The 27879-nt window shown below is 48.8% G+C and overlaps 2 protein-coding genes and 1 long non-coding RNA gene across 6 annotated transcripts in view, besides 6 other annotated features; 1 reads left to right on the top strand and 2 right to left on the bottom strand.

Annotated features, from left to right (window-relative positions):
* The window catches only part of LRRK1 (leucine rich repeat kinase 1), a 158901-nt gene extending 158618 nt beyond the window's left edge, over positions 1 to 283 (bottom strand). The window contains exon 1 of the mRNA NM_024652.6: positions 189 to 283. The gene's annotated coding sequence lies outside the window, so the exon portion shown is untranslated. The remainder of the gene's footprint in view (positions 1 to 188) is intronic.
* Positions 47 to 636: a silencer, noted in NCBI's record as "silent region_6881". NCBI's record gives its function as "represses an Ori minimal core promoter by ATAC-STARR-seq in GM12878 lymphoblastoid cells {active_cell/tissue: GM12878}" and the evidence as "EXISTENCE:reporter gene assay evidence [ECO:0000049][PMID:35858748]".
* ALDH1A3-AS1 (ALDH1A3 antisense RNA 1) lies at positions 357 to 27297 on the top strand. 3 transcript variants are annotated; one of them, NR_135827.1, is made up of 2 exons: positions 357 to 836; positions 23574 to 27297. It is a non-coding gene; the product is annotated as an ALDH1A3 antisense RNA 1 (long non-coding RNA). The 3 variants fall into 3 exon arrangements; NR_135828.1 differs by lacking the exon at positions 23574 to 27297 and adding an exon at positions 3660 to 6437; NR_135831.1 differs by lacking the exon at positions 23574 to 27297 and adding an exon at positions 3660 to 6437 and having other exon boundaries at positions 357 to 1752.
* Positions 1007 to 1126: an enhancer, noted in NCBI's record as "active region_10175". NCBI's record gives its function as "activates an Ori minimal core promoter by ATAC-STARR-seq in GM12878 lymphoblastoid cells {active_cell/tissue: GM12878}" and the evidence as "EXISTENCE:reporter gene assay evidence [ECO:0000049][PMID:35858748]".
* Positions 1007 to 1616: a biological region, named in NCBI's record as "H3K4me1 hESC enhancer GRCh37_chr15:101458234-101458826".
* Positions 1019 to 1611: an enhancer, noted in NCBI's record as "H3K4me1 hESC enhancer chr15:101458234-101458826 (GRCh37/hg19 assembly coordinates)". NCBI's record gives its function as "activates a minimal SCP1, AML or CMV promoter by ChIP-STARR-seq in naive H9 embryonic stem cells {active_cell/tissue: H9 hESC(naive)}" and the evidence as "EXISTENCE:reporter gene assay evidence [ECO:0000049][PMID:30033119]".
* Positions 1177 to 1266: an enhancer, noted in NCBI's record as "active region_10174". NCBI's record gives its function as "activates an Ori minimal core promoter by ATAC-STARR-seq in GM12878 lymphoblastoid cells {active_cell/tissue: GM12878}" and the evidence as "EXISTENCE:reporter gene assay evidence [ECO:0000049][PMID:35858748]".
* Positions 1397 to 1616: a silencer, noted in NCBI's record as "silent region_6880". NCBI's record gives its function as "represses an Ori minimal core promoter by ATAC-STARR-seq in GM12878 lymphoblastoid cells {active_cell/tissue: GM12878}" and the evidence as "EXISTENCE:reporter gene assay evidence [ECO:0000049][PMID:35858748]".
* Positions 3014 to 27879, bottom strand: part of ALDH1A3 (aldehyde dehydrogenase 1 family member A3) — a 36796-nt gene continuing 11930 nt past the window's right edge. The window contains exons 4-13 of one of the 2 annotated variants that reach the window (NM_000693.4): positions 27001 to 27130; positions 26634 to 26695; positions 25558 to 25686; positions 23594 to 23707; positions 21455 to 21557; positions 18881 to 19065; positions 13953 to 14117; positions 12362 to 12519; positions 11158 to 11232; positions 3014 to 4939 (exon numbers count right to left, since the gene is read on the bottom strand). In NM_000693.4, coding sequence (NP_000684.2) covers positions 4867 to 4939; positions 11158 to 11232; positions 12362 to 12519; positions 13953 to 14117; positions 18881 to 19065; positions 21455 to 21557; positions 23594 to 23707; positions 25558 to 25686; positions 26634 to 26695; positions 27001 to 27130 — 1194 coding nt within the window. In that variant the 3' untranslated portion in view covers positions 3014 to 4866. The remainder of the gene's footprint in view (positions 4940 to 11157; positions 11233 to 12361; positions 12520 to 13952; positions 14118 to 18880; positions 19066 to 21454; positions 21558 to 23593; positions 23708 to 25557; positions 25687 to 26633; positions 26696 to 27000; positions 27131 to 27879) is intronic. The other variant, NM_001293815.2, reaches the window with a different exon arrangement.

Here is a 27879-nt window from a genome sequence, read left to right as displayed (position 1 = left end):
GCCCCTCGGGCCGCGGCCCCTGCGCAACGGCCCCCCGTGCCCGACCACGCGGCCGCCCGGAGCGCAGGGGCCCGCGGGCAGGCAGAGGCCGAGGCTCCCCGCGGGCGCCGGGCGCGGGCTCTGGGTTCCCCGGGCGGGGCCGGGAGGCAGCCAGGCCGCCGGGGGGCGCCGGCAGGAGCGGCGCTTACCTGAGGCGGCGGCGGGGCCGGGTGCGGGCGCTCCGGGACGCGGGGCCGGGCGGACACACTGGCGGGGCCGGGGCCTGGCCGTCCCACCGCCGTCTGCCCCCCGCGCCGGGGCCGGGCCCAGACGCACTTCCTCAATCCTGAGGCGGGCGGGCGGGGAGGGCGGCGCGAAGAGCGCGCAGAGCAAGGCCGCCGCCAGCTCTCCCAGGAACCGTCGCGAGGCGTCCCCTCGGCGGCCGCCTCAGTTTCCCTGGCCGTAAAACGCGGGCGATGGCGCTCGATGCCCCGGGAGACGCCGGGGTCCGCGGGCCCTTCCGGCACCGGGTCCTCCTTCAGGTTCGGGCACCCGGCTGCCTCCACGCGGGGCGAGCGCGGCGATGGGATCGGTCCGTGCTGCGCTCAGCCCCGCTTTCGCTATCCCTCTGCTCCAGGGGCAGCAAAATCAGCAGATGAGCCCCCAGCGCGCCTGCGGCCCACACACTGCGGCCGTAACAGTTAAACAGACGGGGAACATTCATGTGCGTAGAGCTCTTCACGGGGCGATACAGAAATGTGTCGTTCTAAAGCGTTAACGACCTGCAATTTGCATATCCTCCAACACATGGATTTTACTGATTCAATTATGGATGTGTGCAAAGAATCTGCTGCTCGGTGAGTCATTGTTAATTGTCGGCTTTGGGGGGAATACATAAAACGTGGAATATTGGCAATTTATCGTGTTTCGACCTTTTATAAAGGCGTCACCAGGCTGCTGAGGCTAATACAGAAACGCAGACCATAAAAAAGATCTGCGTCCACGCTGCAGGCGGGCCTCACGCTGAGCTCCCCGTGTCGACCCGGGGACAAAGCCTGCTCAGGAAGAGCAGAGGGTTCCACGCCCTGCAGGACCAGCGCCCTGGGCCCCTCTCCTGGAAAGTTATGACTCGCACGTTCCCAGGATTTAGCGCACATCTCCCCCACCCTCACTGCCATTTCACAGAACCGGGGCAGCCGCAGGGCTCCTGCAGGACCTCCCGGACGCCGCGGGGCCGTGTTCCCTTGAGCGGCTTCTTGGGTCCCTGGTTGGAGAGGGGACCACCGAGCAGCTTCGCTCTGCTCCTGGGAGGCTACTTCTGCCACTGGACGACTTTCCAAAAGGGTGAGCGCAGTTCTGCAATCCTGTTCTCACCCCTGAGGGCCTCACACCAGTTTGCAGGAGCCAGCAGTGTGATTGCCACCGACAAGTTCCCAACAATTTGCAGGGCGTGGTGTCCTCAGTGCTGAGAGAGCCCCGCGACGGCGGTGCAGCTCCTCCAGGGCGCGCAGCCCCGCCACCTGGCGCCACCGCGAGGGAGCGCAGGCCCAGGGCCCGGGCAGACGCTGGAGGGGACGCGGCAGGTGAAGATGGGGCACCTCCACTTCCCTTCTAAAGGAGCCTGGGAATAGGCTAGGAAATGTCCCCACTGTAGAAGACAGCAGGAACATCTGACACGCGGATAACCTGTGCTGAGCTCGTTATATTCCCAGCATTTAATTCTAGCCATTAGGCATGCGTTAGCCACAACTTCGCATAGGAAGGTTATTGCAGGTAAGTTAAGACTCCTTTCCACTTCTTCCTAAGGGTCGCTGACCCATGGTTCTCTAGCTTTTGCTGGTAATCCCACCCAGATTCTCAGCACCCTAGGTTGGAATGACCCCTCCTGAGGTGGGTGGGGTAGCTGGGAGGCACCTCCCTGAACTGACTTTTCTGCCTTTTTGAAGGTGCAGTGGCTGAGCGCTCCTTCAGTGTTTTCCGGTTGTCTTTCTTCAGCCCAGTACGCAGTTTCCTCAGACAGTCTTCCTTGAGCAACTTCCTAAACGCCCTTCATTATCCCCCTTCAAGCTCATGCCTAGGAGCAAGGAGCAAAGCCATTAGAAAGGCTTCATCCACCAGCAGGAGAAGCTAGGACATCCCAAAGGGTCCACTTCTAGAGAGGTGCCAACCCCCACACGCACACCAGGCACACAAATGCATGTGTGCACACGCATACCACACCCTCCAATTGTCCCCAGAATGGCTCCCTTCAGGGAGTCATGTTCCGGGACACCAAATGAGGGAAAATATCCTTCTCCTACAGTTTCCTGCTCACATTTGGATTGAGAAATGGGATGTCTCTAAATAATGTGTCTAAATTCTCTTAACATAAGTGCATATGTTACGAGAGATCTGATCCCAGCCTCCCTTTTTTGTTAAAGTGGTGGTGCTTTGCCACCCATGTCAAAATGATCTGGGCTTTCCACATCAAATGCAAGGGATGAGCTTGGAGGACATACCCCAGTACCAGCAATGATCTTGAGCCAATGGCAGCGTCAGCTCACAACGGGGTGATTGAGGCTTCTTGGTTAGAAGCTTTAGAAACTTGAGGTCAGTAAAACCCAAATTGATCCTTTCTCTAGATCCTCTAGATTTCTCTAGAGGAAAAGGTGACAAAAACAGACACTTGTGCTCACCGTCAGGGGCACAATGCTGTCCGTCAATCCTCATGCAGTCCTCCCCACCATTTCGCACACTGACACCATCACTACTTTATGATAAAAGGAGACTCAGGCAGCTTAGATAACAGCTGAAACTCAGCCAGCTATGACATGGAACCTCTGAGGCCCAGCTCCTTGCCTGGTCAACCCCCAAGCCCACAGAAATGGGTTTCACACTCAGGCAAAGCACTGGGCCCGACTGACTGAGCAAATGTAATTTTATGCTTACATTATTGATCCTGCTTTAATATCAGCCATTTCGTACAGGTCTCAGAAAGAGAAAGGCCTGCCATCGAATTCAAATGACTTTGGTCTTTAAATGAAAAAGCACAATGTTTCTCAAATATCCAATTTTATTTTATCATTCTCGCATTGTGGGATGCGATCTGCAGCTAGGATCGGAATTCCCAGGCCTATAGATTTTTAAACCACACCACAGGGGTAAACCTTAAAAGAAGTGAAACCTAACACTATATATATTTCCATTTCTAAATACAGTATATTACAGAAGTTTAAATATACCACCTCTGTGTACTTACAACTATAAAAAGATACAATAACTCTACCAATTATAAATAATGTAGCATTTCATATTAAAGACATTATCGTACAATGGAAGAATAGGAACCCTCTAACGTATCACTATCAAGGTTAGTGTCTATATCTACTTGAGATAAAATACTGAAAATTCAGTGTATGAAGCCAAATCCTGATTTAACAAGTTATTGGTAGTATAAGTGATAAGTGTTAGCTGATGAAGGGAAGGCAAATGTGGTAATTTATATCTCTGACAAGGGTGATAGGCCCATTTTATACATGGTTTTCGTTATACACACACTGGTTCTGTTACGGGCCCTCATTTTATTATTGCCCTCCCCAACTTAATTTGCAAACTTAAGCACTACTTTCCCAATTAGGAAAGTACTAGTTAGTAACCATAAAAGTATCCGTCGGATAACACATTTGTTTTTGTTTTTGAAGCTATATGGGAACACTTTCAGTTTCCCAAGTTAAAACATGAAATTGCACATCATCATTTGGATCCCCAAAGAGGAAAAGAAAAATTCACAACCTGCCAGTGAAATACTCAGGCCACTTGGATGAAGACCGAGGTCCTCCATAGAATCCAGGTGTTATTTACTAACTAATCAGAAATTAATATCAAAATAGGACTTAAAAATAACAAGGCTGTGTTATTACAGCAGTCTTTCCAGTTGTGTACGCTTTACTAATCTAAATTGGGTAACAGAACTGGAGAAAAGGAAGACTACACAGACTTATCATAAGCTGTTAGTGAACGTGATAGAAATGCGTAATTTGTTAAAGCGAATTACAGCTCTGATTTGTCAAATGAGGAGGTGAATTATCCTAGGATTTGCTATGCTGTTGTGGCGTTAGAAGATTGGATCTTTAGCAGCAAAGGTAACCTCAACAATATTTTCTGCTTAAGAAAGTGCCTTGGTTAAGGTAGACCGTGATATCGTCTTTGACTAAGCTCTCTGGGCTATTGATTCTGTCATATTCCAAAGGCAGTATTGGTTTGAAGCCGAATCTCACGGTCAATGTCAACATGCAATCCACAAAGACCCTGGCGCCCTTCCACGGTATGCACTAACCAAAACTTTCTCACTGTGAAATCCTTTTTTTAAAAACAAGAAAACAAAAAACAAAAACCAAAAAACCTTACTGTGAATCCTTTCCCAAGGAATGGTCCCACCTTCACCTCGGAAAGAGGCGTGGCTTGCTCTGTAAGCAGGTCCACCCTGAGGAGACCGCTGGTGCAAGAGCCCTGCTTGCAGAACACACAGGGGGTTTTCCCACATTCTTACTGGAGTCAGATTCGGCAAAGCATTTCAAGCAACTGCTGGACACTTCAAATACCACTCCCTGTTAACAACGCCCTGAGTATCTCACTGTCTCCAGGATCTGGTTTAAAGGGAAACACAGAAATGGCCAACAGCTCCCTCCCCAGGCAGGACTGCGATTTCACAGACAACCTATAGGCATCCCCAGTCTGGTGAATAAACAGGAGAGTGAGAGGAAAACAGCAATCATTCAACTCCAGTAGATGTAAAGCCTCCAGAAGAATGTGTCCCGGGAAGGTCAGAAATGTCATTTTTTTCCTCCAGCACATTTCATCTGCCACATTCCGCCGTCCGATGTTTGAGGAAGGAGCCCCGCCTTTCCTTCAGGGGTTCTTGTCGCCAAGTTTGATGGTGACAGTTTTCACTTCTGTGTATTCGGCCAAAGCGTATTCACCTCTGTGATCACAGAAAAGAGGAAAATTCAAAATGGGTACATCCCTTAGCCATTGTGTAGAAACTGTTCTGAGGCTTCATCATTCCATCAGGCCGTTGGAGGCTTATGCAAAAGGTTAAAATGTGACGACCTCATGGAATAATAGCCAGGACTATAACAGCACTAGTAAGTGTCAGTAGCTGCATATGTGACTTAAATGTAAATATCAAGGTCTTCTTCTGTGTGATGCTTTTGAAATGGCCAGGACTAAGGGTTTCCCTTTAGAGAATGAAGGGGATTTTAAAAAAAGTAAAGAGGTGAATTCCCTGGGGTGGCAATAGAGAGCAAAACGAGAGAGCCTGGTGGACGGTGGGGTGTCTGTGAACGAGGGAGGGGCAGAAATTACACTGGGTTGATAACTTTTAGATGGCAATTGGGAGCTGCTTGAAGAGGAGACAGAAGAGGCAGAGGCCCAAAGCTATTGGCTGGGGATGTGGCCAGAGGACCAGTGGGAAGAACACCAAGGGCCTGAAGCTGGCCTCAGAGTGCACAGCTGGGGACCAGCTGTCAGGCAGTGAGGCCAGCCTAGGGGGCATGAGAGAAGCAGACGTTAGCACAGAGTGGACATGGGGAGGCCACAGCTTTTGGGTTCACATCCTTGGTATAGTTCCTTTCTTTAAATCTTGCAGGGCTCAGGTGATCCTTCCCTGGCACCATGGGCCGTCTTCAGGGTAGCTTCCCTTCCAAGACCCAAGAGGCAGCTTTGGAGAGATTTAAATCCTTCTAAGCGCTTGATCTGCTGTCAGGTGAAGAAAAATGTGTGCTTGTTTAGGAAGAGATGAAGGTAGAGGTGGCCACTGGAGTCTCTGTAGTTAAAAAGACCTGTGACAGAATCCCATCTCCTCCCTTAGATCAATGGTTCTCAAAGTGTGGTCCCCAGACCAGCAGCATCAGCCTCACCTCTGAACTTGCTAGAAATGTAGATTCTCAGGCCTCCCCCAGCCCTACTATCGTAGGCAGAATAAGGATCTCCCCAGGTATCCAAAATTGGATCCCCCAAACCTGTGAATATGTTGGGCTACAGAGTGAAGAATTAATGTTGCAGATGGAATTCAAGTTACTAATCAATTGACTTTAAAAGAGGGAGACTCTCCTGGATCATCCAGGCAGACCCAGTGTAATCACAAGGGTCCCCAAAACTGGCAGAAGAAGAGAGGCAGAGCAAAATGAGATTATAGAAACAGGTTCAGAGAGCAGCAGTGCTGGCTTTGAAGATGGAGGATGGGGCCACCAGCCTAGGAATGCGAGCAGCCTCTAGAGGATGGAAAAGGCAAGGAAGTAGATTCTCTCCTGAGAACCTCCAAAAAGGAATGAAGCCCTTGATTTTAGCTCAGGGAGACCTGTGTCAGATTTTTATCCTACAGAACTATAAGATAATAGATTTATGTTATTTAAGCCACTGATGTTATGGTAACTTCTTGCAGGAGCAATAAAAGACTAATAAACTTACTGAATCAGAAACTCTATGGTGGGGCCCAGACATCTGTATTTTTTTTTTTTTTTTTTGAGACGGAGTCTCGCTCTGTCGCCCAGGCTGGAGTGCAGTGGCGCGATCTCGGCTCACTGCAAGCTCCGCCTCCCGGGTTCACGCCATTCTCCTGCCTCAGCCTCCCGAGTAGCTGGGACTACAGGCGCCCGCTGCCACGCCCGGCTAATTTTTTGTATTTTTAGTAGAGACGGGGTTTCACCTTGTTAGCCAGGATGGTCTCGATCTCCTGACCTCGTGATCCGCCCGCCTCGGCCTCCCAAAGTGCTGGGATTACAGGCGTGAGCCACCGCGCCCGGCCGACATCTGTATTTTAACAAGTCCTCCAAGTGATTCTGATGCATACTCAAGTTGGAGAACCACTGGCTTAGAACTATGTTGCTTAGGTAAGTTCTTTGCCTTCCCTGAGCCTCAACTTCATCAACTATCAAATAGGAAAACCATCACCTCCTTGTAATTATAACAATTACAGATAATCATGTAGAGCCCCTACTATGTGTTAGGCAGAAAATGAATGGTAGGTGCCATTGAGATTTTTAGGTCATTTCCTAAAACAAATAGTTCCAGAACCCATGAAAATAAGTGAATTATTTTATAATCTTTCCTAAATAAAACACAAAACATAAAAGCCATAAACAGAATGCTAAATTCTATTTTTGTAGAGCAGAGACTCCATTAAAAACTCCCAAATGACAAACTAGAAAAAAAATTTACAACACTGTGTGAAAATCAGAGTGTGATTTTCCTTAATATACAAAGAGCTCTTGCAAACCAACAAGAAAAACACAAATACCCAAATGGAAAAATCAACAAAGGACAGGAATAGTTAGTTTTCAGAAAAAGAAATATGAATTACCAATAAGTGTGAAAATGGTGCTCAATGCCATCATGATTAAAGAAATGTAACCAAAACAGTGGTGAGCCCATTTTTCATGTGGCAGATTACTCAATTTTAGTAATTTATTCTGAAAACAATCTCCCACAAGTGTATACTTCCACTTGTATGCACAAGGAAGTACATCAGCATGGTTTGTAATAGCAGAACCCCTTGGAAATACACAAAAGTTCCTCATGGGAGATCATCAATAAAAAGAACGGAAGGATATCCAAAACCCAGTCTCAATAACGAAATGTAGCTTGCTCCCATTTCATTTGAAAACAGAAAAGAACACACATATATAAATCCATTGTATGCAAATAAAATGCACAATACACTCTAAAAGTGAGAATACAATGTTGCATTGTAAAAATTCAAAGCCAATAATTATTTATCAAGTTAGTAAAGAAAAGAAACGCAAACAAAGTGATGAAATCAGATTGAATTAACACATAACTAACACATGCAGTAGGATTACAGCATTCCTTTAAGAATCAATACAGAGCTCCTCTCATTCTTTCATTTCTGAAGTTGCTGTCCTGGTTCAAATTCTTGCTGCTCTTATTCAACCCAGTGGGACATCTCCTCAATGGATTCTCAGCCAGTCTCAACCACTTTGCAGTTCAAAGCTATCCAGGAGCCCAGCCTTACTCCTGTTAAACCTCACCAGAATGTCAGGAGGCACAGGGACTGGTGGCTGTGTTGTTCACTGCAGTATGCTCAGAGCCTAGCATCATGCCTGGTGAATCAAAGATGCTCAAGAAGTATTTGCCAAGTGAACAAAAGAATGAATGAGCAAATGAATGATGGAACAACGTTTACCTCTAACAAATGGGACTGAAGGTCAGGGAGGGAAGCCTTGACTTTCCATATCTCTATTGCGTAGATTTTTTGGTTACTATATCATTTTTATTCAGAAGAAAGGCTCCCAGGAGGAAGAGGAATTTCAGGCTCCATCCTGAGACCCGCACAGAAACAGCTCCCGGAGGGGCCCGTGGGTGGGCGGCCAGAAGCCAGCCCAGTCCAGGTGGCCGGGGACGGGGAAAACCATGGAATCCCCCGCACGATGCTCCAGCATTAAAAAAGGGGAACTTCTTGCAACATGAAGACATTAATTAGAGACAACTGAAGACAGAAATTGGTTTTCCAGGCAGTTTCTAGGCTCCTTGTGAATTATTTTTAAATATTTTATCAAAAGCCTTGAGAAAATATAGGCCAAGGGCCTAAAAAACAGACATTCAAAAAAGTCCCGATGGAGGCTAACTGGCAGGAGGACACATGGGCTGTGTCCAGTGAGTCCTCACCAAGCCCTGCTCTGTGCCAGGCGAGGGGGTGTTAAGGAGCCAAAAGCACTGTTAGGGTGGCAAGAGGGAAGGTTGCAATGAGGGTGAATCACCAGTGCAAAGCAGTACACACCAGGGATTGGGGGCCCTGCAGCTTCTACGCCCAGGGACATTTGCTTCGGGGACTGGAGTCCTTGCTGTGGCGTGAGGCTGTGTCTGGCGTCTGGGAGGAGGACTGTGTGGGGTCTGGGTTCCCCAGCCCTAATGACCCAGCTGGTTGAAGGCAGCAGATGAAAGGAGACAAATGACCACGCAAACCCTGGGTGGCCTCATGAACAGGTGGCGGACAAGGGTGATCCCTGTTGAGCAAGGTCCTGCACTGCGGTGGGTCCAAGGACTAAGCTGCCAGCATTCATTTCTGACTGTCACTTACCAGCTTCCTGTGCCATTTTCTCATCTGAAAACAGCTGGACCCATCTCATGGATGGGCGTGAGGATGGTATGAAGGAACAGGCATAGAGAGCTCAACCGAGCCTGCTGCAGAGTCTGTGCTCAGCAAATCCCAGCTGTTGCCAGTACTGTTGCTGTTGGAGGGCCCAAGAGGGGACCCTGGTGACCCCAGCCCTGGCTGCCTGTCCCTGGAGGGGCAGGTGTAAGAAGTGATGAAGCAGGGGCTCACAGAACTCAAATGCAAACAGGCCACTAGAGGGAGGAAATGCAATTTCTGCAAAGGGGTTTCATGGCCAACAATTACTGATGTCCGCTGAAGGCGAAGCCAGCCACAGGGATAAGGGGGAAGGCTAATGGACAGGCTTCACTCACAAGTGCAGACGCCTTGGAGTATTTGCTGAGAGTCAGGGATGGACTACAAAGCAGGACTGAGGTGGGAGGGGGACAGGACCCCAATTCCACATAGACTGGTCAAGAACATCTGTTTGGGGATGGAAGCCAGGCCCATCCCTTCACAGCATCTTTAAGAATCTCAAAAGAGAGCCACACAAAGGCCCCAACCAAGGCCCAAGGTGAGGGGAAGCGTTTGAGTCTGTTCCCGCTGGAAGAAGTGCAAACAAGGGACTACATTTGTATATAAATAGGACAGACTAGTGAAATAAAAGGAAGAGTTTGGGTCCCTAGAGATGTCCCAGGAACCTGGGGTGTTGTCACAGATGGTTCCTTGGGAACACTGATCCTACAAAATGTTTGTCCACACAGGCTAATAAAATCCTGAGCTGGGGAGAGAAGACAGTGTCCGGCTGGAAACCACACATCTCCACTCCCGGGTTGCTCTAGCCAGCTCTGGGTGTGGGCCAGACGCAAGAAGTTCCACCCATTAATCTAAACCTAGGGAACTCATTTTCCCAGCAGGCAGGACAAAAAAGGAAGTGTGGAGGGGTTTGCACACACAGTGGAGGGGTTTGCAGTGGGTTTGCACACACACGAAGGGGTTTGCAGTGGGTTTACACACACGGAGGAGTTTGCACACACATGTGGAGGGGTTTGCAGTGGGTTTGCACACACTGGGGTTTGCAGTGGGTTCACACACTGAGGAGTTTGCACACACATGTGGAGGGGTTTGCAGTGGGTTTGCACACACAGTGGAGGGGTTTCCAGTGGGTTTGCACACACACAAAGGGGTTTGCAGTGGGTTTACATGCACACGTGGAGGGTTTGCAGTGGGTTTACACACACGGAGGAGTTTGCAGTGGGTTCACACACTGAGGAGTTTGCACACACATGTGGAGGGGTTTGCAGTGGGTTTGCACACACACGGAGGGGTTTGCAGTGGGTTTACATGCACACGTGGAGGGTTTGCAGTGGGTTTACACACACGGAGGAGTTTGCAGTGGGTTCACACACTGAGGAGTTTGCACACACATGTGGAGGGGTTTGCAGTGGGTTTGCACACGCACGGAGGGGTTTGCAGTGGGTTTACATGCACGCGTGGAGGGTTTGCAGTGGGTTTGCACGCGCATGGAGGGGTTTGCAGTGGGTTTGCACACGCATGTGGAGGGATTTGCAGTAGGCTTGCATATACTGAGAGGGCCGCAGAGGCCCAGCAGGAGGTGTTGTCATATGCCTCCTGGGAGGAGGTCCCCTACTAGGCTCAGAAAAAAGGACCCAGCAGGTAGGAGCCTTACCTGGGTCAGCCTTACCTGTCTTCACTGCTGTGAGTGGGGAGTTGTGTGAATAATGACACCCCACATCTGGCAAAAGTACACTTTTTCAGTTCTGCCTGTGTCCCCGTCCAGGGAGCTTTTGTCAAATATCCACTGAATGTCCCCAGCATGATGGCTGCTGGGCAGACACAAAAGCCGAGGCCTGGAGGGGGGCAGGCTGAGGATGTAAGTGGGAAGGGTGGGCTGGAGAGAGGAAGGGATGGGTCCCCACCAACCCTAGAGGGACACAGCTGGCCCAGACAGAGCGGCGGTGTGGGGGGGACGGGGTGTCAGCAGATTGGAGCCTGTGTCACTGCCTGCAAATCTAGTGGATCTAGTGTTCAGCCCACGGCAGGCTCAGAATGATGGAAACACTTACAGTTCTCTGCCATTTCCTGACATTTTAAAGCCACCAAATGGAGCCTGTGCATAGAGGGCGTTGTAGCAGTTGATCCTAGAAAAGAATGGAAGAAAGCTCAGAGTCATCTGGAGAAGACCCCCTGGCTCCTGGCACTGCAGCCACTTAGCCCCCAGTGCAGGGCATTGTCTAATAAACAGTCTTTTGCCAAAGCTTCCTTGATGAAAACACAGGGTGCTCTCAACTTTTGTCTTCTCATTCTTCTCATCAGCAACTAAAATTTGGAAATCCTCAAGTACAGAGTGTGTTTCATTGGGATAGGAATGAAATGATAAGGGGAGAAAAAAGAAGAGAGGGCCAGGCATGATGACTTATGCCTGTAATCCCAGCACTTCGGGAGGCTGAGATGGATGGATCACCTGAGGTCAGGAGTTCAAGACTAGCCTGACCAACATGGTGAAACCCCATCTCTACTAAAAATACAAAAATTAGCTGGGCGTGGTGGCGTGCACCTGTAGTCCCAGCTACTGGGGAGGCTGAGGCAGGAGAATTGCTTGAACCTGGGAGGTGGAGGTTGCAGTGAGCCGAGAGTGTGCCACTGCACTCCTGCCTGGGGGAAAGAGCAAGACTCCATCTCAAAAAAAAAAAAAAAAAAAAAAGAAAGAAAGAAAGAAAAAGAAAAATCAGGGTGTAGAGGAATAAGAATTAGCTTTGAAATGAGACAGAACTGACCCCAAAGTTCTCCTGCTTCCTGGTTATATGATTCTGGGCTTATTGCTCAACCTCTCTGAGCCTCAATTCATTAATCTTTAATATGGGGATCACAAAACATAATCTGCAGAATTACTGATGAGGCAGAGACTAGTATCCACATTTTGCAGATGGGCATGAACTGCTTTTAGAATCAGAATGGAAAATAAAGTTGGAGGGGCAGTACAGCACAGGGGCCACAGGCACAGGTACTGGAGCCCTCTCGGCCATCTGCTAGCTGTGTGACCCTGGGCAAGTCACTTCATCTCTCTGTGCCTCAATTTTCTCATCTCTGAAATGGAGACATAATGGCAGCTACCTCAGAAGATGGTCATGAGGATGGAAGGAAGCACTGAGACAGGGCTTGGTATATAATATACAATGTAAACAATGAGAAACTCTCAGTTAATAGAAGAATAATGAACTTAGCAAGAAGCAACTCAGGAGAGCTGAAATACACACACAGTCAACTCACCAGACCGTTCCAGACTCTAAGGCAGAAGCCAACTTCAGGGCTTTGTCGAGATTTTTTGTGAACACGGCTGCTGTGAGTCCATAGTCGGTGCTATTCGCTCTTTTTATCACTTCTTCGATACTTTTGAACTTCAGTATTGGTTGCACTGGCCCGAAAATCTATGATTAATTGCAAGAATGGCAATGAGAGGCATGACTGAATGGAAATGCATGCTGTGAACAAGCATTTCCTTCTCTTTACATGTTTTTCATATGCCCAGAGCACACACATGCCTGAAAAACGATGATTAGAGAAGAAAGAACGTCCAAACATTGCTTCAGCTGCATTGCCATTGGAGACTGAAGGGAAGGATTAACATGAAACAAAAATAAAAAATAATAACAAAAAATATATGTTGTGTTTAAGATGTCTTGTTGTCATCAGGGTTTCCGAGAAACCCAGCCAGAGAGCCTTGGAGTAACCCATAGATGCACAGAACACAAAACCTTTAGGTAACTTTTTTCGGAGTTGTCCTGAAGGATATCTGCAGGCACTTTGTAAGACTGTGCTCCTACCTCTTGGAGCTGTGTTTTCTACCAAGGAAGACACCCTAGAACGTTTCCATAATAACTACCAGGGGAAGGAATGACACAATATTCACCACAGTTTGTGACACAGCAAAGAAAAGGAAATGGAAGAACTAAGGCTTGAACATTTAAAGGTGATTTTGAAGGGAGCTTGTAATTGATTCAATATTAGACATAATTATAAGCCGGCAGGATGGTGCCTGGCCTGCCAAAATACCTTCCGGGTTCCCCAGGACCTCTCGTCACAGGGATGTTTAAGGAGCTGAGCTTCATGCCATCACGGCACATAACAATCTCAAGGAAGACGCCTCTGAAATACCTGCCCCAGAAAGCCCTTGGCAGGGACTCATCCTTTTATGTGCCCCAAAATACCACCTCCAGGGTCTAACCTCCTGGGATCCAGCTCTCCTCTTACAAATGCTGTGTGGGAACCAGTTCCCGTCTAGTGTAACAGTGGAGTTGAAAGAGAAAGATTTACACTCTTATGGGAGTGGGGGAGTCTCCTTAATTTCCCTCATTTTCAAGACGTCCGTGGTGGAAAATGTCAATAAAAATTCCAGCTGTGACATGTTCCTTGAGTGAACACTTGAAATTCAGTCTAGGGGCACTGAAGGCGGCTTTGGGCCCTGAATCCACAGGTTCTTGAACTGATTCCTGGCAAAACCCACAGGTGGCAACAGTTCTCCACCTGCGGCTGCATGACTGACTCGGGGACCGGTTGTGTTAGAAAATCAGAGAGGGCTTGCTGCTCCCAGAGAGGGTGAGCCATGAGTGAAAACTAGCTAGAACAAACAAGGTACCTGCTGTATCATGCTTGGAGTTCGCCAGAGGCAGGACAAAACGGCTTCCCTAGGGACCCCAAAGGAGAGGGGAAAGACCACACAGAAAAAACAACAACGACAACAACAGCAACAAAAACAAAAAAACACTCAGATCACAAGGATTTCTGGGATCCCTGGGCCCTAGGGAAGGACTCGTGTTTGAAAGGCCCCGCAAGTCGTAGCCTTGCCACAGCCCCCTTGTACCTCCTCTTTGGCAATCCGCATGTTGTCTGTGACTTCTGAGAAGACAGTGGGTTTGATGAAGAGCCCCTTGTCTTCCATGGCTGAGCCCCCGCATTCCAGCTTGGCCCCTTCCTTCTTCCCACTCTCGATCAGCTCTAAGATTTTGTCGAACTGCTTTTGATCAATCTGCAAGACACAAACAAGAAGTACAGCCTGGCTTCCTTCTGGGCAGTGGCTGCCATCTCATGTTTTCAGTGGCCTTCAACATGATCAGCCATCCTCCCTCTGCATGTTCTTGTCAAGCCATGATCCATGTAACTAATGAGCCTTGCAGGCAAATATTCCTCTGATGCACAGAGCTGGGCTCTTTGGAGCAGGGGAGAGATGGGGAGATAGACTAGTCTCATCCTCTGGAGGTTTGGGACATATTTACACTTCTATCTCCCTTTTCCATGCAGCAAAGTTAGTCCATGAGTGACACAGGTCTGAAGTGGTCACAGTCTTTCTTCTCCCAACTCTTTACATTCTACTCAGGTTGCCAAATTTAGCAAATAAAAATACGGGATGCCCAGTGAATCTGAATTTCAGAAAAATGACACATAATTTTTTTTAGTATGTCCCAAAACAATATTTGGGATATACTTAAGCTAAAAGTGCATTTACTGTTTATCTGAAATTCATGTTTACCTGGGTGCCATGTATCACCTGGCAACCCTGTGCCCTGCTCAGTTGGCACCGTGAATCAGGGTAATAGTTACTGGAATTCTCCTGTCATGGTGCAGAGAAGCGAGAAGAAAAGCTAACCACCTTACTCAACACCCCTGGGGACAAAGCAGAATGAGCCTCCAGGTGGGGTGGCAGGGCTGCTCCTTGGTTGGTGGTGGGAACAGCTCATGAGAAAGACTCTCCCTTTTGCTATCTTGTCTAGACGTCTCCTTGGCTGGAGTTTGCCCTGTGCCACCAGCCTGACCCACAGCTTGTGAACACGCTACTGAGCAGTTGTCAAAAGCGCACCCTTTTGGGAGACTGCTCAAGAGGGAAAATGCTCTTTCTGCCCCCTCCACTGGTCCTTCTTCCTGAAATCTATGGGAATCTTGTCCTTTATCATGATCTGTGGCTGGTCTCCCTCCTCTTTGGCTGGGAGAGACAAAGCTTTACTAGGTTTACTTTAGCTGGGATTTTTAGATGGGAAAACTGGTTTCATTCCAATGATCATAAACAGAAAAAGAAGCAAACCCAGTGGTGCAATTGGATGACGGTCTGTCCTGGAGGAGCAGGAGAGAGGGCATAAACCGTGCATGCCACTTGACCAATCATCTCATGAAATATGGACCCAGTTTAAAAATACTAACTCAGATCCATACCTCACACTTTATACCAGGCCAAACTCCAAACCCAGTTTAAAAATACTGACTCAGATCCATACCTCACACCTTATACCAGGCCAAACTCCAAACCCAGTTTAAAAATACTAACTCAGATCCATACCTCACACCTTATACCAGGCCAAACTCCAAACCCAGTTTAAAAATACTAACTCAGATCCATACCTCACACTTTATACCAGGCCAAACTCCAAATAGATCAAAGATATAACCAGGAAAAACAAAACCATAAAAGTTTTATATGTGGGAGACTTATCCTGCAAACTTGGAGTGCCTTCTAATGACTCAAAATGCAGAAGCCAAAAAAGAAAAGATGTATAATTTTGAGTATGTAAAAAAAATGGGGTGGGGGCAAAATTATCATAACAAAGAGCAAAACAACAAACTTGGAAAAAATATTAACAAGTCATATTCATAGAAAGCTAATCTCTCTACTATGTATGTAAAGAGGTCTTAGAAGTGATAAGAAAAATGCCTAACAGCTTGCAAGAAAAATACGCAAAGCACATTTGATAATAAAGGAAATACAAACGGTTTTTAAATATATAATAAGATGTTCTACCTTGCTTATTATAAGCGGTAGATGCATATTAAAATGAAACAAGATAGCATTTTTAACTCTCCTATGGGCAAAAATCCATATTCTGTTGGAAAGGGTAAAGAAACAGACAAACTTCTAGAATGTTAGTAGGAATACACGTTGGTTCAGCCTCTATGGAAGGTAATTCAGCAACACTTAAGGAAATTAGAAATGTGTTCCCACTTAGCAACCCACTTTGGGAAAGCTGTCCCAGGGATTTCCTTGTGTGTGTGTGAAATCACATACTCTGAGGCCTTGTGTGTGACTGCACATACCTGCATGCTAATCAGAAGATGTTACTGAAATTCTGGTGGCTTCATCCAGCAGAATTCCATACACATGTGAAAAAGAATCAGGCAGGTTCCCATGGACTGGTATAAAGAGCTCTTCCAGTTTTTTTAGGGAACAATAAACAAAGTGCAAGATGATATACTATCATGGAAACTTCCGTGTAAAAATAACAAAGGCAATCAGGACTTGCATTCATCTGCTTGCATGCACACGAAAACATTCTAGAGGGAAACATGAGGAACTAAGAACTGGGGATACCGTGGGGAGAAGGGTAAGAACCAGGTGTACAAAGGTGGGGGCGGGAGGGGCGGGAATCCTTTCACTATAGACGTTTTTAGGCGTTTTGGGGTTTGACCCGTGTATGTGTACTCCACTCAAAAAAAGTAACAAAAACAGCTTTGCAACAGATCCCGGAAGAGCTCAAGGTTCTCTCAACTTCTCTCTGGGTGAACCAAGTCTCAGGTTAACAGTTCCAGATGCTGCTGAGCTGCTCTTCCCCTCCCTGAGGGGCCAAAAGGGACACAGGGGCTTCGCCCAACCGCAGGTCCTCCCTGGCTGCTGGGCATATGCCATCTGGCAGACCCTGTTTGTCCTGCAGGCAGTGCTGGGTCCCCGTGGAAAACCTACACATCCAAACTCCACACTCCCTGGAGAGCCCGTAGGAACACATTGTTTAAATCTAATAATCCTCCATGAAATGTCAGCTGGTGCCTTACAGTACAGGAAGAGAGACCTGCCAGGAAGTGAGATGACGCAGCAGGGCACAACACCAGAAACAGGGAAATACGGCCCCCACAGGACTGGCTCAAGGCTGTGCTCGGCTCTCTGCCCGGAGGACGCTGCCGGATCCTGCCCGGCCAGGTGGCCTGCATAATGTTTATGTGCCTCGTTGCTCAGTTGCCAAATAAACCTGAATGATTTTGGAGCATTCCTGTGAGCGCTAGCCCGGCCGTGGACCCGGATCTAGGTCAGCTAGCTGTTTTACAGGCATGAGACAGACAGGACTATTTAGACAGCTGTAAGTCCTCTCAGAGTAAAATCTTATTACCGTAGATGAAAAAGCACTTTGGAAGAAAAAGAAACCCCAACAGCATTCTAAAATAATATGCTGAGGTTAGACGGCTTTAGTGAGCTTTCAGAAGGACTTTGAGCGGTGGCATAAATGCACTGATGAAATCAGCACCCATTCTGCCTCTATCTGTTCTCTTGGAAGAAATCGGTGTATCTGGCCTCAAAAGTCAAGACTCAGACATCAGGCATAAGCCAAGAAAAGAGCCACAGAAAGAGACTTACAAATAACGACGGGGTAAAAAAGTTTCTTCTGTATGGGGATCAGTTCACATATTTCCCACTGATTGTGGATTAGCTTTAAAACTCACGGCGGATTCAATAATGACTTGTGGTCATGTTTGCGTTCAGATCTGAAATCCAGCCGAGGCCATTAGACAACCTTGTGTCACTGACCGCTGGGTTTGGGGCACAGGCTGGGCAGGCAATGACTGAGGAGAAGGAATGTTAGCCACAAGAAGTGCTTTCTGCCAGGGTCACGTGGCGTCGGAGTGTGTGGACTGGGGCCAGTGGAGGGTGGGCACTGATGGCCAGAAATGCATCCTTCCTCCATGAGGCCCTCCCTTCTTCCCCAGCCAGGGCATCCCCACAGGACAGCCTGATGTCATGCACAGACACTCACTGCCACCTAGACTGGAGAACCTGTCATTTAAAGCTTCCTCCTGTTTAAAAATAAAACCTGCCCATAATTGAATACTTCCTAGGTGCCATGAAATTCTCATAATATTCATTGATTACTCCCACTCTCCAGATGAGGAAACTGAGGCATGGAAGGGTTTTTGTGACTTTCATAAAACCCAGGGCCAAATCTGAGCTCAGATCCACAGCAGCCTCCCCTGTAAACATGCAGTGCTGTCACAGTAGGGGAAGTGGCAGCCTCCCGGGATAGACACAAGTGGGTAAGTCACGGACATGTGACTTGAAATTTCATGGCTGGGGCAGGACTTTGGCTAAAAGCAAAGTGAGTGACTGCTGAGCTCCATTTCAATAATGCATGGGATGGTCAGGCTGCCCTCTTTTAAATATTTATCCATCTGCTTCACTTCATAATTAGTAAGAAAGTGATACAGGATGTGCCGTTTTAAAGAGGATATTAAATCTCGTGGTTATGATCATTTTCATCCTGTCCTTGGCTTCCCAAACTCATCCTCCAGAGACATGTTCCTACTGCCTGGAGATACATTCTCCTGCCCCAGGCTCTCTCCGTCTGGGATTGTTTGATTTCTGATGGTTCACCTTGTCCTGTAACCCACGTGGGCTTGAGGGCCTCGGGCTGCGACTGAGACTCCAGGCCACACGCTGCCTGCACTCTGCTGCCTTCAGCCAGCCTACAGCCCCTTTTCTGTAGGGAGGTCATCCTGGAGAGTGGAGGGTTCAGGCAGATGGCCTTCTGCCCTGGGAATAGCGCCCTCCTCCCATGCCTCAGTGTGTCCTGCCCCCTTTCGTGAGCCCCCGGGACCTGACAGGATTGTGTTTCTGATCAGTTTCTAAAGAAAAGAAAGCCTCCTGGGCAGGACAGGTCAGCATTCCTTTCACGGAGAGGGACCCTGTAGGCGGTTGCCATGGGACTGCCTGCTTCAGCCCCTAGACAAGCACCATGGTTTCACACACACCAGGGGGATTACCTGAGGCCCCTGTTCTGTTTTGACATCGAAGGGGTCTCCCACGGGCCGTTTCTTGGCATACTCCACGCTCCGCCTGACAAACTCAGAGTAGACCTGCTCCTCCACGAACACCCTGGAGGCTGCCGTGCAACACTGGCCTTGGTTGAAGAACACTCCCTGATGGGCACACTCCACTGCCAAGTCCACTGGAGGGGGAGGGGCGAGGGAGGCGGGCAGAGCGAGAGGAAGCGATTAAGTTGTTAAAGCAGGACTGGTGACAGCTGCAATTCTAATTGCCCACACAAGAAAACAGGCCCCAGGATGGCTGCATTTCAGAAATTAATTTTGTTTGCAGACTTTCCCAAATAGAGAGGAAGGGAGAAAGGATTTTGGGGTCCACCAAGTTTGGGGTTAAATCAATTCCCTGACTGCAGGACTTCTCAGTACCTTTAATATGCTAATAAGTCCAGAGAGTCATAGCACCCTCCATTTCACTTGCCTTTTTCTAGAGGACTCCCCTCCCCTCCCCTTTTTCTAGAGGACTAATGTTTTATAGAATAAACTTCGGTAATTATTGATGTAGGCCCCCTGGCGAGAACTTCTAAAGAAGCCAAAATGTTCCACCTTGAGTAAAAGAAGGGTCTTATTAAGTAAGATAATATCATGTGTGTGACTTAGAAGGGCTGACTAAGTTGCAGAGCTGACATTGAACTAAAACCAGTTATTCAAACCAAGCCAGAGGGTATTTAGAGAATAAGATCTTGGGGGACACGCTTAGTGGATAAGAATGGTATTGGGATGTCATTTACATCTACAGAGGGGTTTCTAGTGTTCAACCGTTGGCTGGTTTCATCACCACCAACCCCCGCACTATTGCTTTCTTAAGAAATGCAGCTTTCCTTTGCATAGAGGCTGGCAGTGGCTCTGGGCATTGGAAGGTGATCCGTTCCAATTCCACAGGGGCTGCTCCAAGGGACTGTGCCCTTGGCTTTGAGAAGGAGGCTGCTCCTATCTAGCTGAGTCATTTGTGGAAGTTTCAGTGGCAGCAGGACAGCACCATAAGGTTTGGGGGTACCTCTCTGCACCCTTGACCCCTGCAGCTGGCTGGGCCAGGTCCCAACTTGGAACTGCCCCTCCTCCGAGATAACAGACTCATTTCCTGCTCCTGACGGAGCTAGGGGTGAGGCGAAGGGGCAGGGGAATGGTGGCTTGTTACCCTTGATGTCTTGCCTGGGATGCTGGTTATGTCAGGATGTAATTTGTGGACTGGCACCGCCCTGATGAGGAGAAGGAGGTGGCTACACAGCATGTTTTTATGACCCTCGTAAGTAAAACCAAGCCCCAAACACAATTAGTCCTGTGCTTTAGCTGCAGTTTTCCTCCCCAAGAGGAGGAAGATGAACTTCAGTGCAGGTGGCGTATCCAGATACGGTGGCACAGGAAAGCAAAACAGGAGTCCTGGCTGTTTGGGACTCCAAATGTGAGTCACAGTGCCAGAAATGCTCCGTGTGGCTCCAAAAACCACTTGCTATTCATAGCACTAATGGTGCTTCCACAAGGGAACACTGACCCAGGCAAGAAATGGAAAGTCCATCTTCACACCCAGCTCCCCTTTCCTTCCTGAGAGCCTGTATCCTCCTCCTGTCCTTTCTCCCATTGTGAAAGCCAGCTGCCAGAAAGGAACTGATATCAGTCATTTACACCTTAGTAAGAAATTGTGCCAGGGTCATTTTTCTTGGGGATATTTGCAATTCCAACCTTATCTGAGTGTGAAGTGAAAGGCTTTGTTCTCCACGACAGGAATTTCTGGCACCCGTGGACAGGTCTGGGAGGCTATTCTTTAAGGCAAAGGTGTTTCAAGGCACTTGGGAAGTCACACCTTTTGATAGCTGACCCTGTCAGCAGGTGAATGAATGCCCGGCCAGCCCTTCCTTCCCTCTTGTGGACATGGCAGCCAACAATAGCATATATTTTAACGCTGTGTCGTTTGGCTGTCAAGACGCAAGCTATCCCCAAACTGCTGGGCAGGTTGCTTTCCCAGGGCAGGGGTGCAGGCCTAGAACCAGGCAAAGCGGGTAATTTGAAGGATCAGTTGCTACTGCCCTCCTCTGATTTATCAGGTCTGAGACACAAGGAAAGAGCACCTCCACTCTTCAGGGATCTTAAAACATATGATAGGAAATGTGACTTGGAGGGGAGAATGAATGACTGGGAGTGGGCAGCACCTGCCCTCCCCACTCCTCCCAGGGGGCTCTGGAGGAGAAGCCAGACCTGCTCCTCGTGACCCCAGCTCTGCAGGAACAGGCAGGTAAACTTAACGCTAAGGCGCAGAAACAGGCAGCCTCTCAGGTGCCACTCAAGCCATATCGTTTTGGCAGTAGAAGGCAGCTTTCTGCTAGAAGTAAAGCTGGCATTTTGATGTCCACCTGCCTGTCTGCGGCTGGCTGACTGTGGGCAGGATGCCCACGGTGGAAGCGTCCCCACTGTGTGTGCACACATCTTACTCTCAGTTGGTTTTGAATTCAGGCCAGGAAGTAGGGGGAGACAGATGGATGCCCTGAAGCCCCAGCAAAGCCCAGGAGGGCAGAGACTCACAGTCAGCGTCCGCACACACGATGCAGGGGTTCTTCCCCCCCAGCTCCAGCGTCACCCGCTTCAGATTGCTCCGGGACGCAGCTTCTTTAACCAGTTTTCCAACCTCCAGGACAGAACACAGATCACAATTTACCTTGGATGTTGCTGAACTTGGCCCAGGCGTAAACATCAGTGAACATTCTGATCAAGCCCGGGTGGCAGTGCCACCACCTGGCTCTCGGCCCAGGCGCTCCAGGCCCCGATGCCGTCCCTTCACTGTCCTGGCCTCTGCCAGCATCTCCTCCCATGCCAGACCATGACATCCTGGGATCCTTGGTCTAAGCCGCTCCACTTACAGGTGTGAGTTAGAGCCTCTGGAAGCCCACACAGCTGGCTGGGAACAGGGCTGCCACCCGCTAACCTGTCCTGGTGCCTGTCCTTCTGAGCCCAGCAGGCTGGTCCAGCCAGTCTGGTAAAGGGCTTCAGGGACCGCAGGGTGACTCTTCTACCTCTCACTAGAAACAGCTGAAATTCCAACAGCCCAGTAGGGGGGTGGTTCTGTGTGGCTCTTTGGTGTGATCTGAGGGAACCTCCAAGTGTTAGAGAAGTAGCGAGGGCAGCCAGCCTTCCGGATGAGAAGGAGCCGATTCTCTGGAAACACACTCTAAGACTGAGGCTGCCGCAGACAGGCAGGGAGTGAAGGGGTGCGCTATGAGCAGAAAAGCCACTCACCAGTCATGCTCAAGGCCCCCACGGGGTCTCTCCCATTGCCCACTGTACCCCTGGAGGGGAGGGCTGGCCCAGCATGACTCGGTGACTTATCTAGGGCAACAAGTAAAGCCCAGCACCACGAACTTCAGAGCTGGGAAGATCCTCAGAGACCAGTGCAGACACGGAGGCCTAGAGCCAGAAGCTAGCAAGGCGCGGCCCAGGCTCTTCCGGGTCTGAGACTGTTTTCTCCAATGCTAAGGTGTGAGCGCATTTTAAACATCAGCAAGCTCATGGGTGATGGCTGAATGAGGTCTGGAATCCATCCACAGGGCAGTGTCTGTCTCCAAGGAGAGTAACAGCATCCACCAGGGCTTGGACTAACTAAGGAGGGGGATGGGGACACTGATTGCAGCGGGTGTTTTTTTCTTTTTTAAGTACAGAAGAAATACTTTCTCATTAAAAGTAATTCCACATAGAGATGTATGTGAATTACAGGGAGAAAGCCTTCAGCTTCCCTCCGGCTCTGCCCCGAGCCCACCCCATAGGTGGCCATCAGTAAGGATTTCTTGGGAATCCTTCCAGATAATTTCTACTTCTACAAGCACACACCTCTACGAATGGGAAAATATTGTGGGTAATTTTCTACCGTTTGCTGTTTTGTGCTTCAACAATAGATCATGGACAGCTTTCCTTGTTGTAACGGCTGTAAAACATTCCAGAGAATGAATATAATATCCTTGAAAATATGTCCCTGAAGCCTCATGAGAAAATTTCTCTAAGTAGTTTTTTCTTTTTTTGAAATGGAGCTTCTGAATCGAAAAGTTTTTCACTTTAAATGTTGGATGAGTGCTACCAAAACACTGTGCATCTTAGGGCAAGTGTCGCTGAGCACCTGCTTCCCCATATTCTCAGCAGTATCATTTCAGTTCTTAGCAATCTGGCAGGCAAAAGGAAAGTCTGATTTTGTTTGAATTTGCATTTTCCTGATTACCAGCAAACTAGTTTAAGCTTAATGGGCACGTCGTATTTCTATTCTCTGAACTGCCCATTTTTCTACCATTCAGTTTGGTTTTTTTTTTTCATTGACTTGTAGGAGCACTTTGCATATGACGGATATAAATTCTTGGAGCACTGCATGCATCACGACTATTTTTCTCTGAGCTTGTTATTTATCTCTTAATCTTAATTATGGTGTTTGACAGATGAATATTTTACATTTCTACTTTATCTTATCTCTCAATCTTTTCTTCTAAGGCTTCTGAGTTCTATTAGATATTTATTTAGTTTGGAAACTAGACCAGTGACTTTTTTTAACTGGTTGTTATGTACTAAAACATGGTCAAATTTAGAAGAAAAACAAATCATATTAAAGCCTGTCAAAGGAAAAGCTCACGGGTGTCAAATAACACGCCCCTTTCACTTTCCCCAGCACCCTGTGAGGAGGGTTACCTCTGTGGAGCCGGTGAAGGCGATCTTGTTGATCTGAGGGTGAGAAGAAATTGCTGCTCCCACTGTGGGCCCGAATCCTGGCACAATGTTCACCACTCCTGGAGGGAACCCGGCCTGGGAAGAAATCAAGATAGCACTTGAAGAAGAACGGACTTCATCCACCACGGATCCACATTTGGGCCGAGAGAGCCGTGGCTGCCTCACATCCCCACAGGGAACCCGGGCCGGGCTGGATTTACCCAGGACCCAGAAGCAGTTGACCGTGGGCACCCTGGGAGCTGACCTGGGCTTCTCATCCCCTGCTGCCAGCCCAGTGTGCAGGCTGGGCAAGGGGAGATGCCCACTTCTCCTTCTGGGGGGGGACCCCATCCCAAAGTGATATGCAGTGCAAATGTGTGGTTATGCTTCAAGGTGGCCATGGCCCGCCTGTAGCACAGCACCTTTCCATGTGGGGTGTGTGTGTGTGTGAGGGAGAGTGTGTGTATGCGTTAAGGGGAGAGGGGTACCTTGATCAGAATGCCCTGCCCAGGATCAGAGGCACCTGCAAAATATCTGCCAAGAGCTTCAGTTTTGTTTTTTCTTCTTTTTTTTTTTTTTGAGATGGAGTCTTGCTCTGTCGCCCTGGCTAGAGTGTAGTGGCGCGATCTTGGCTCACTGTAAGCTCCGCCTCCCAGGTTCACGCCATTCTCCTGTCTCAGCCTCCTGAGTAGCTGGGACTACAGGTGCCCGCCACCACGCCTGGCTAATTTTTTTTTTTTTAAGTAGAGATGGGGTTTCACTGTGTTAGCCAGGATGGTCTCGATCTCCTGACCTCGTGATCCACCCACCTCGGCTTCCCAAAGTCCTGGGATTACAGGCGTGAGCCCAGTTTTCATTTTTTAATCAGACCCGTTATTATTCCAAATGGTGACAGGGTATCACTCCCTTAAAGTTCTTTGCTTGTTCAACCTGGGTCTCACCTGGAGCAAGCCCTTCTGGAAGGCAGGGACTGCCACCTCGTTCACGTTCATGCCTCGTGTTTTTCATATACTAAGCCTCTTTATCAGGCGAGAACACAAAACAAACGAGGTGGAGGATGCTCTTCCCCACCTGTGCTGAGTCTTACTTAGAACACATTATTTCAGAAAATCAAGATTTTAGGCACGCTGCTTGAGTCTTTAGATTTTTAGGCACTGTTTCTTAACAGTTGGGATTTTCACATTCCTAAGTCTCACCAGTGTGACTTAATTATGCCCCACATCACCAAAGGAAAGTGGAAAATTGGCTCATCACCAGCTGTTCCCACCTTGCTTCTAAGCAACTGTGGACCTGCCTGCCGGTCATATCAGCCCGACTAAGAAGAGAAAGGAATGGATCTTTTCTTCTGTCCCTCTTTGCTTCCTGTTGCTTTCTCTAAATCTTTGCTCCATACAACCTGGGGATGGAATGACTAAAGGTATGTCTGGAAGGAGGTGTCCCATTGAGCCTCTGTTTCCCTAAGTTCTGGCTGCCTGAGGGAGAAGAGATTGCATTCAGAGCAGAGGGCACTGATTAGCAGGGACCCGGCACACGGACTGCTGCAGCCGCCCAGCTAGAGCTGACGAGGCCACCTCTCCAGAGAAAAATGGACCATTTCATAAACTGAGAATGCAAATCCCAGAGAACCTCCCAAATATTTGGCTCCCTCTTGGTTGACCCCCCCTGAAAATTCTCTAGACAAACCACTGGGTCCTCAACCATAGGTTTGAGCCCATAATAAGAGTTAAGCATTCTCATTAGGACCACTGGGAGGAATGGAGTTTCTCCAGCTCAGTGGCCACAAGCAGGAGAAAGAACGTGCAGTCGCCAAACAAAACACTGGAAGTCATTCCCTTCCCACTCGATTGCCAGCAGTCTGCCACTGTCCCATCTCGTGACGGTGGCCTGGTTCCTAGGAGTGGGAATGTTACCAAGAACATGTGATATTTTCTTTTTGGATGTCTCACCTCTTTGATCAGAGAGCCGAGATAAAGGGCGGTGAGAGGTGTCTGCTCCGCAGGCTTCAGGACCATGGTGTTCCCACAGCAGAGGGCGGGTGCCAGCTTCCACACCAGCATCAGCAGGGGGAAGTTCCACTGCGACAGAGCACAGGGGCTTTGGAGGCCCAGATCCACCCTCTTACCCTGTCCCATGTGCTCAACGATGCCTTTGTGGAGGACACTTGCTTTTCATGGTCTGGATTTGGGGTATGTGGGGTAACATAGGAGTGTGCAATGATCAGAACTGCAATCCTGCACAGCACTTCCTAAACTGCATTCTGGGTGGTACTAATAGGCAGCCTTTGCAAAGAGGATGCTGTTGCATGTGTTCTACCTCTCCCTCTAAAACATCTGCTGAAGACGTGTCCTCCTCCCTGCCTCCATGGGCACTTTTTGAACCCTCACTTCATGTTGCCACCTGGCTCTTCAGCTTCCTGCCTGGCTGTTGTTGCAATGGCCAGAGGCTTCCCAAACAGACAGGCAGCATTGTTGCACTTCTTGGGCACCTATAAGCATCCCCACCGCCCAATGAATAAAGTCCCGGCCCCTTAGCAGCCAAAGCTGCTGGAAGCTGGCCCACACCACCTGCCACGTGTGCTCACCCTTTTCCTCACTTTTGCTCCTGCCTGAGCTCTAGCCCCACCAGCTTTCCTGCTGTTCCCTTCCAAGTAGCCCAGCCACCTCTGCACTTTTGCCTAGGCCATTCCCACTCCTTGGAAAATCCTTTTCCTTGTTGAACAAGTCTTTCTTATCTTTAAGGCCCAGCTAAGAGACCACCTTCCTGGGAATGCTGGCCATTCCTGACCACTCTGGCTGGGAACCACAGTGCTTTCTGTGGCATGCCTAAAGCCGGTCTTAGGAGAGCAGAAATGGGGTCTAATCCATCTCAAGAGCCCCCAAGCATGGAGTTCCATGCCACGAAGAAAATGCTTGTTCAACGCTGGTGCAATCAGATAAAAACACACCAGAAATTGATTCCAAAGGACACAGGGCAGTGGGGCAGGATCTACATAGAATCTACTGAGAAAGGCTGCCATACTTACTGGAGTGATGGCCCCACAGACACCAATGGGCTCATGCCTGGTGAAGCACACGACGTTGTCATCTGGAAGAGGGTTACATGGTGGGGAAGGACACACTCACTTAGTCCAGGTTAGGAACTTCAAGTAGTAAAAAGACAAGAAAGAAACCAACAAGGGTGCCAGATTCAAGTCTTGTCTATTATACAGAGAAGTGATTTGACCTCAACTTTAAAAGTGAAGTTCTTAGAAGAAGAATTGGCAGTACCATTTGGAGAGGGAGTGGGGTTGGGAATGGTGCCTTAGGGAAACAGTCAGGGGGGGCTCTGGATTAATGAAAAGATATAGCCCCAAAGGGATCCCAAATGAAGCTATAATCCACCTTGCTCACCTGTGGGGATGGTCTTGCCCTGGATTTTGTCTGCCCACCCTGCAAAGTATCTGAGGGTTCTAATACAGCCCTCCAGGTCGATGAAAAAAGCATGAAGAAATGGCTTCCCTGTATCCATCGTCTCCAGGGCCTGCAATAACAAGATGATGTCTGTTTCGGACATAGCTTGCTTTTCTTTTGCACTGTCAGGTTGTTAAAGATGGAAGTTGGGGAGAGAACACAGTCCTAGGACATTGCTCTGTAGACCTCACAGTCAGATGCACCTCTTCAGAAAGCATGACACCAAATGTAAAGCGAGGCCTGTCTCTGAGTGTGAGGATTGCTTTTATTTCAAAACACCTAAAGTGGGCTGCAGGGTGGTGGGCTAAAACATAGACATGCACCCTCTTTGAAGGGCCCCTTGGAGGCCAGGCGGATTTAAAGCTGTGCTGGGAAGGAACGCACACTGGCATCTGATCTTCCATCTGTAGCACAGTGGCCTCTGCTGTGTGGCCAGTCGTGTGTGCTTGTGTGTTCCCAGGAAGCTCTCTGAAGGTTAGCTGGCTCTGGGGTGGCTGCAGTGGGAGCTGCCCTCCTCGAACAAAAGAGAAAGAGAAGATGTAGGCTCTTCCTTCTCGGCCAGGCTGGCCAGTGTGGCTGTGGAAAGTGACTGAGCCGAGAAGGGTCGCGCCCCCAGCACAAAGATGCAATCCTTCCCTCCTGCACTGCAGAGCCCGGCCGGCCGGATGCAGAGTCGGAAGGGAGCAGACTGCCCTGCTGGTGAGGGAGGTGATTACCCAGGGCGAGTGTGCAGCCACTCAATGGCAGGGATTCTTTTCTATTTCCAGCCGGGGTGGAAGAGAACCCCTTTGTCCCTCAGACAAGTGGCCCCAGTTGAGC

The sequence above is a fragment of the Homo sapiens genome, chromosome 15 (assembly GCF_000001405.40).
Source record: "Homo sapiens chromosome 15, GRCh38.p14 Primary Assembly".
Taxonomy (NCBI): Eukaryota; Metazoa; Chordata; class Mammalia; order Primates; family Hominidae; genus Homo; species Homo sapiens.
This window is presented reverse-complemented; position numbering and strand designations above follow the sequence as displayed.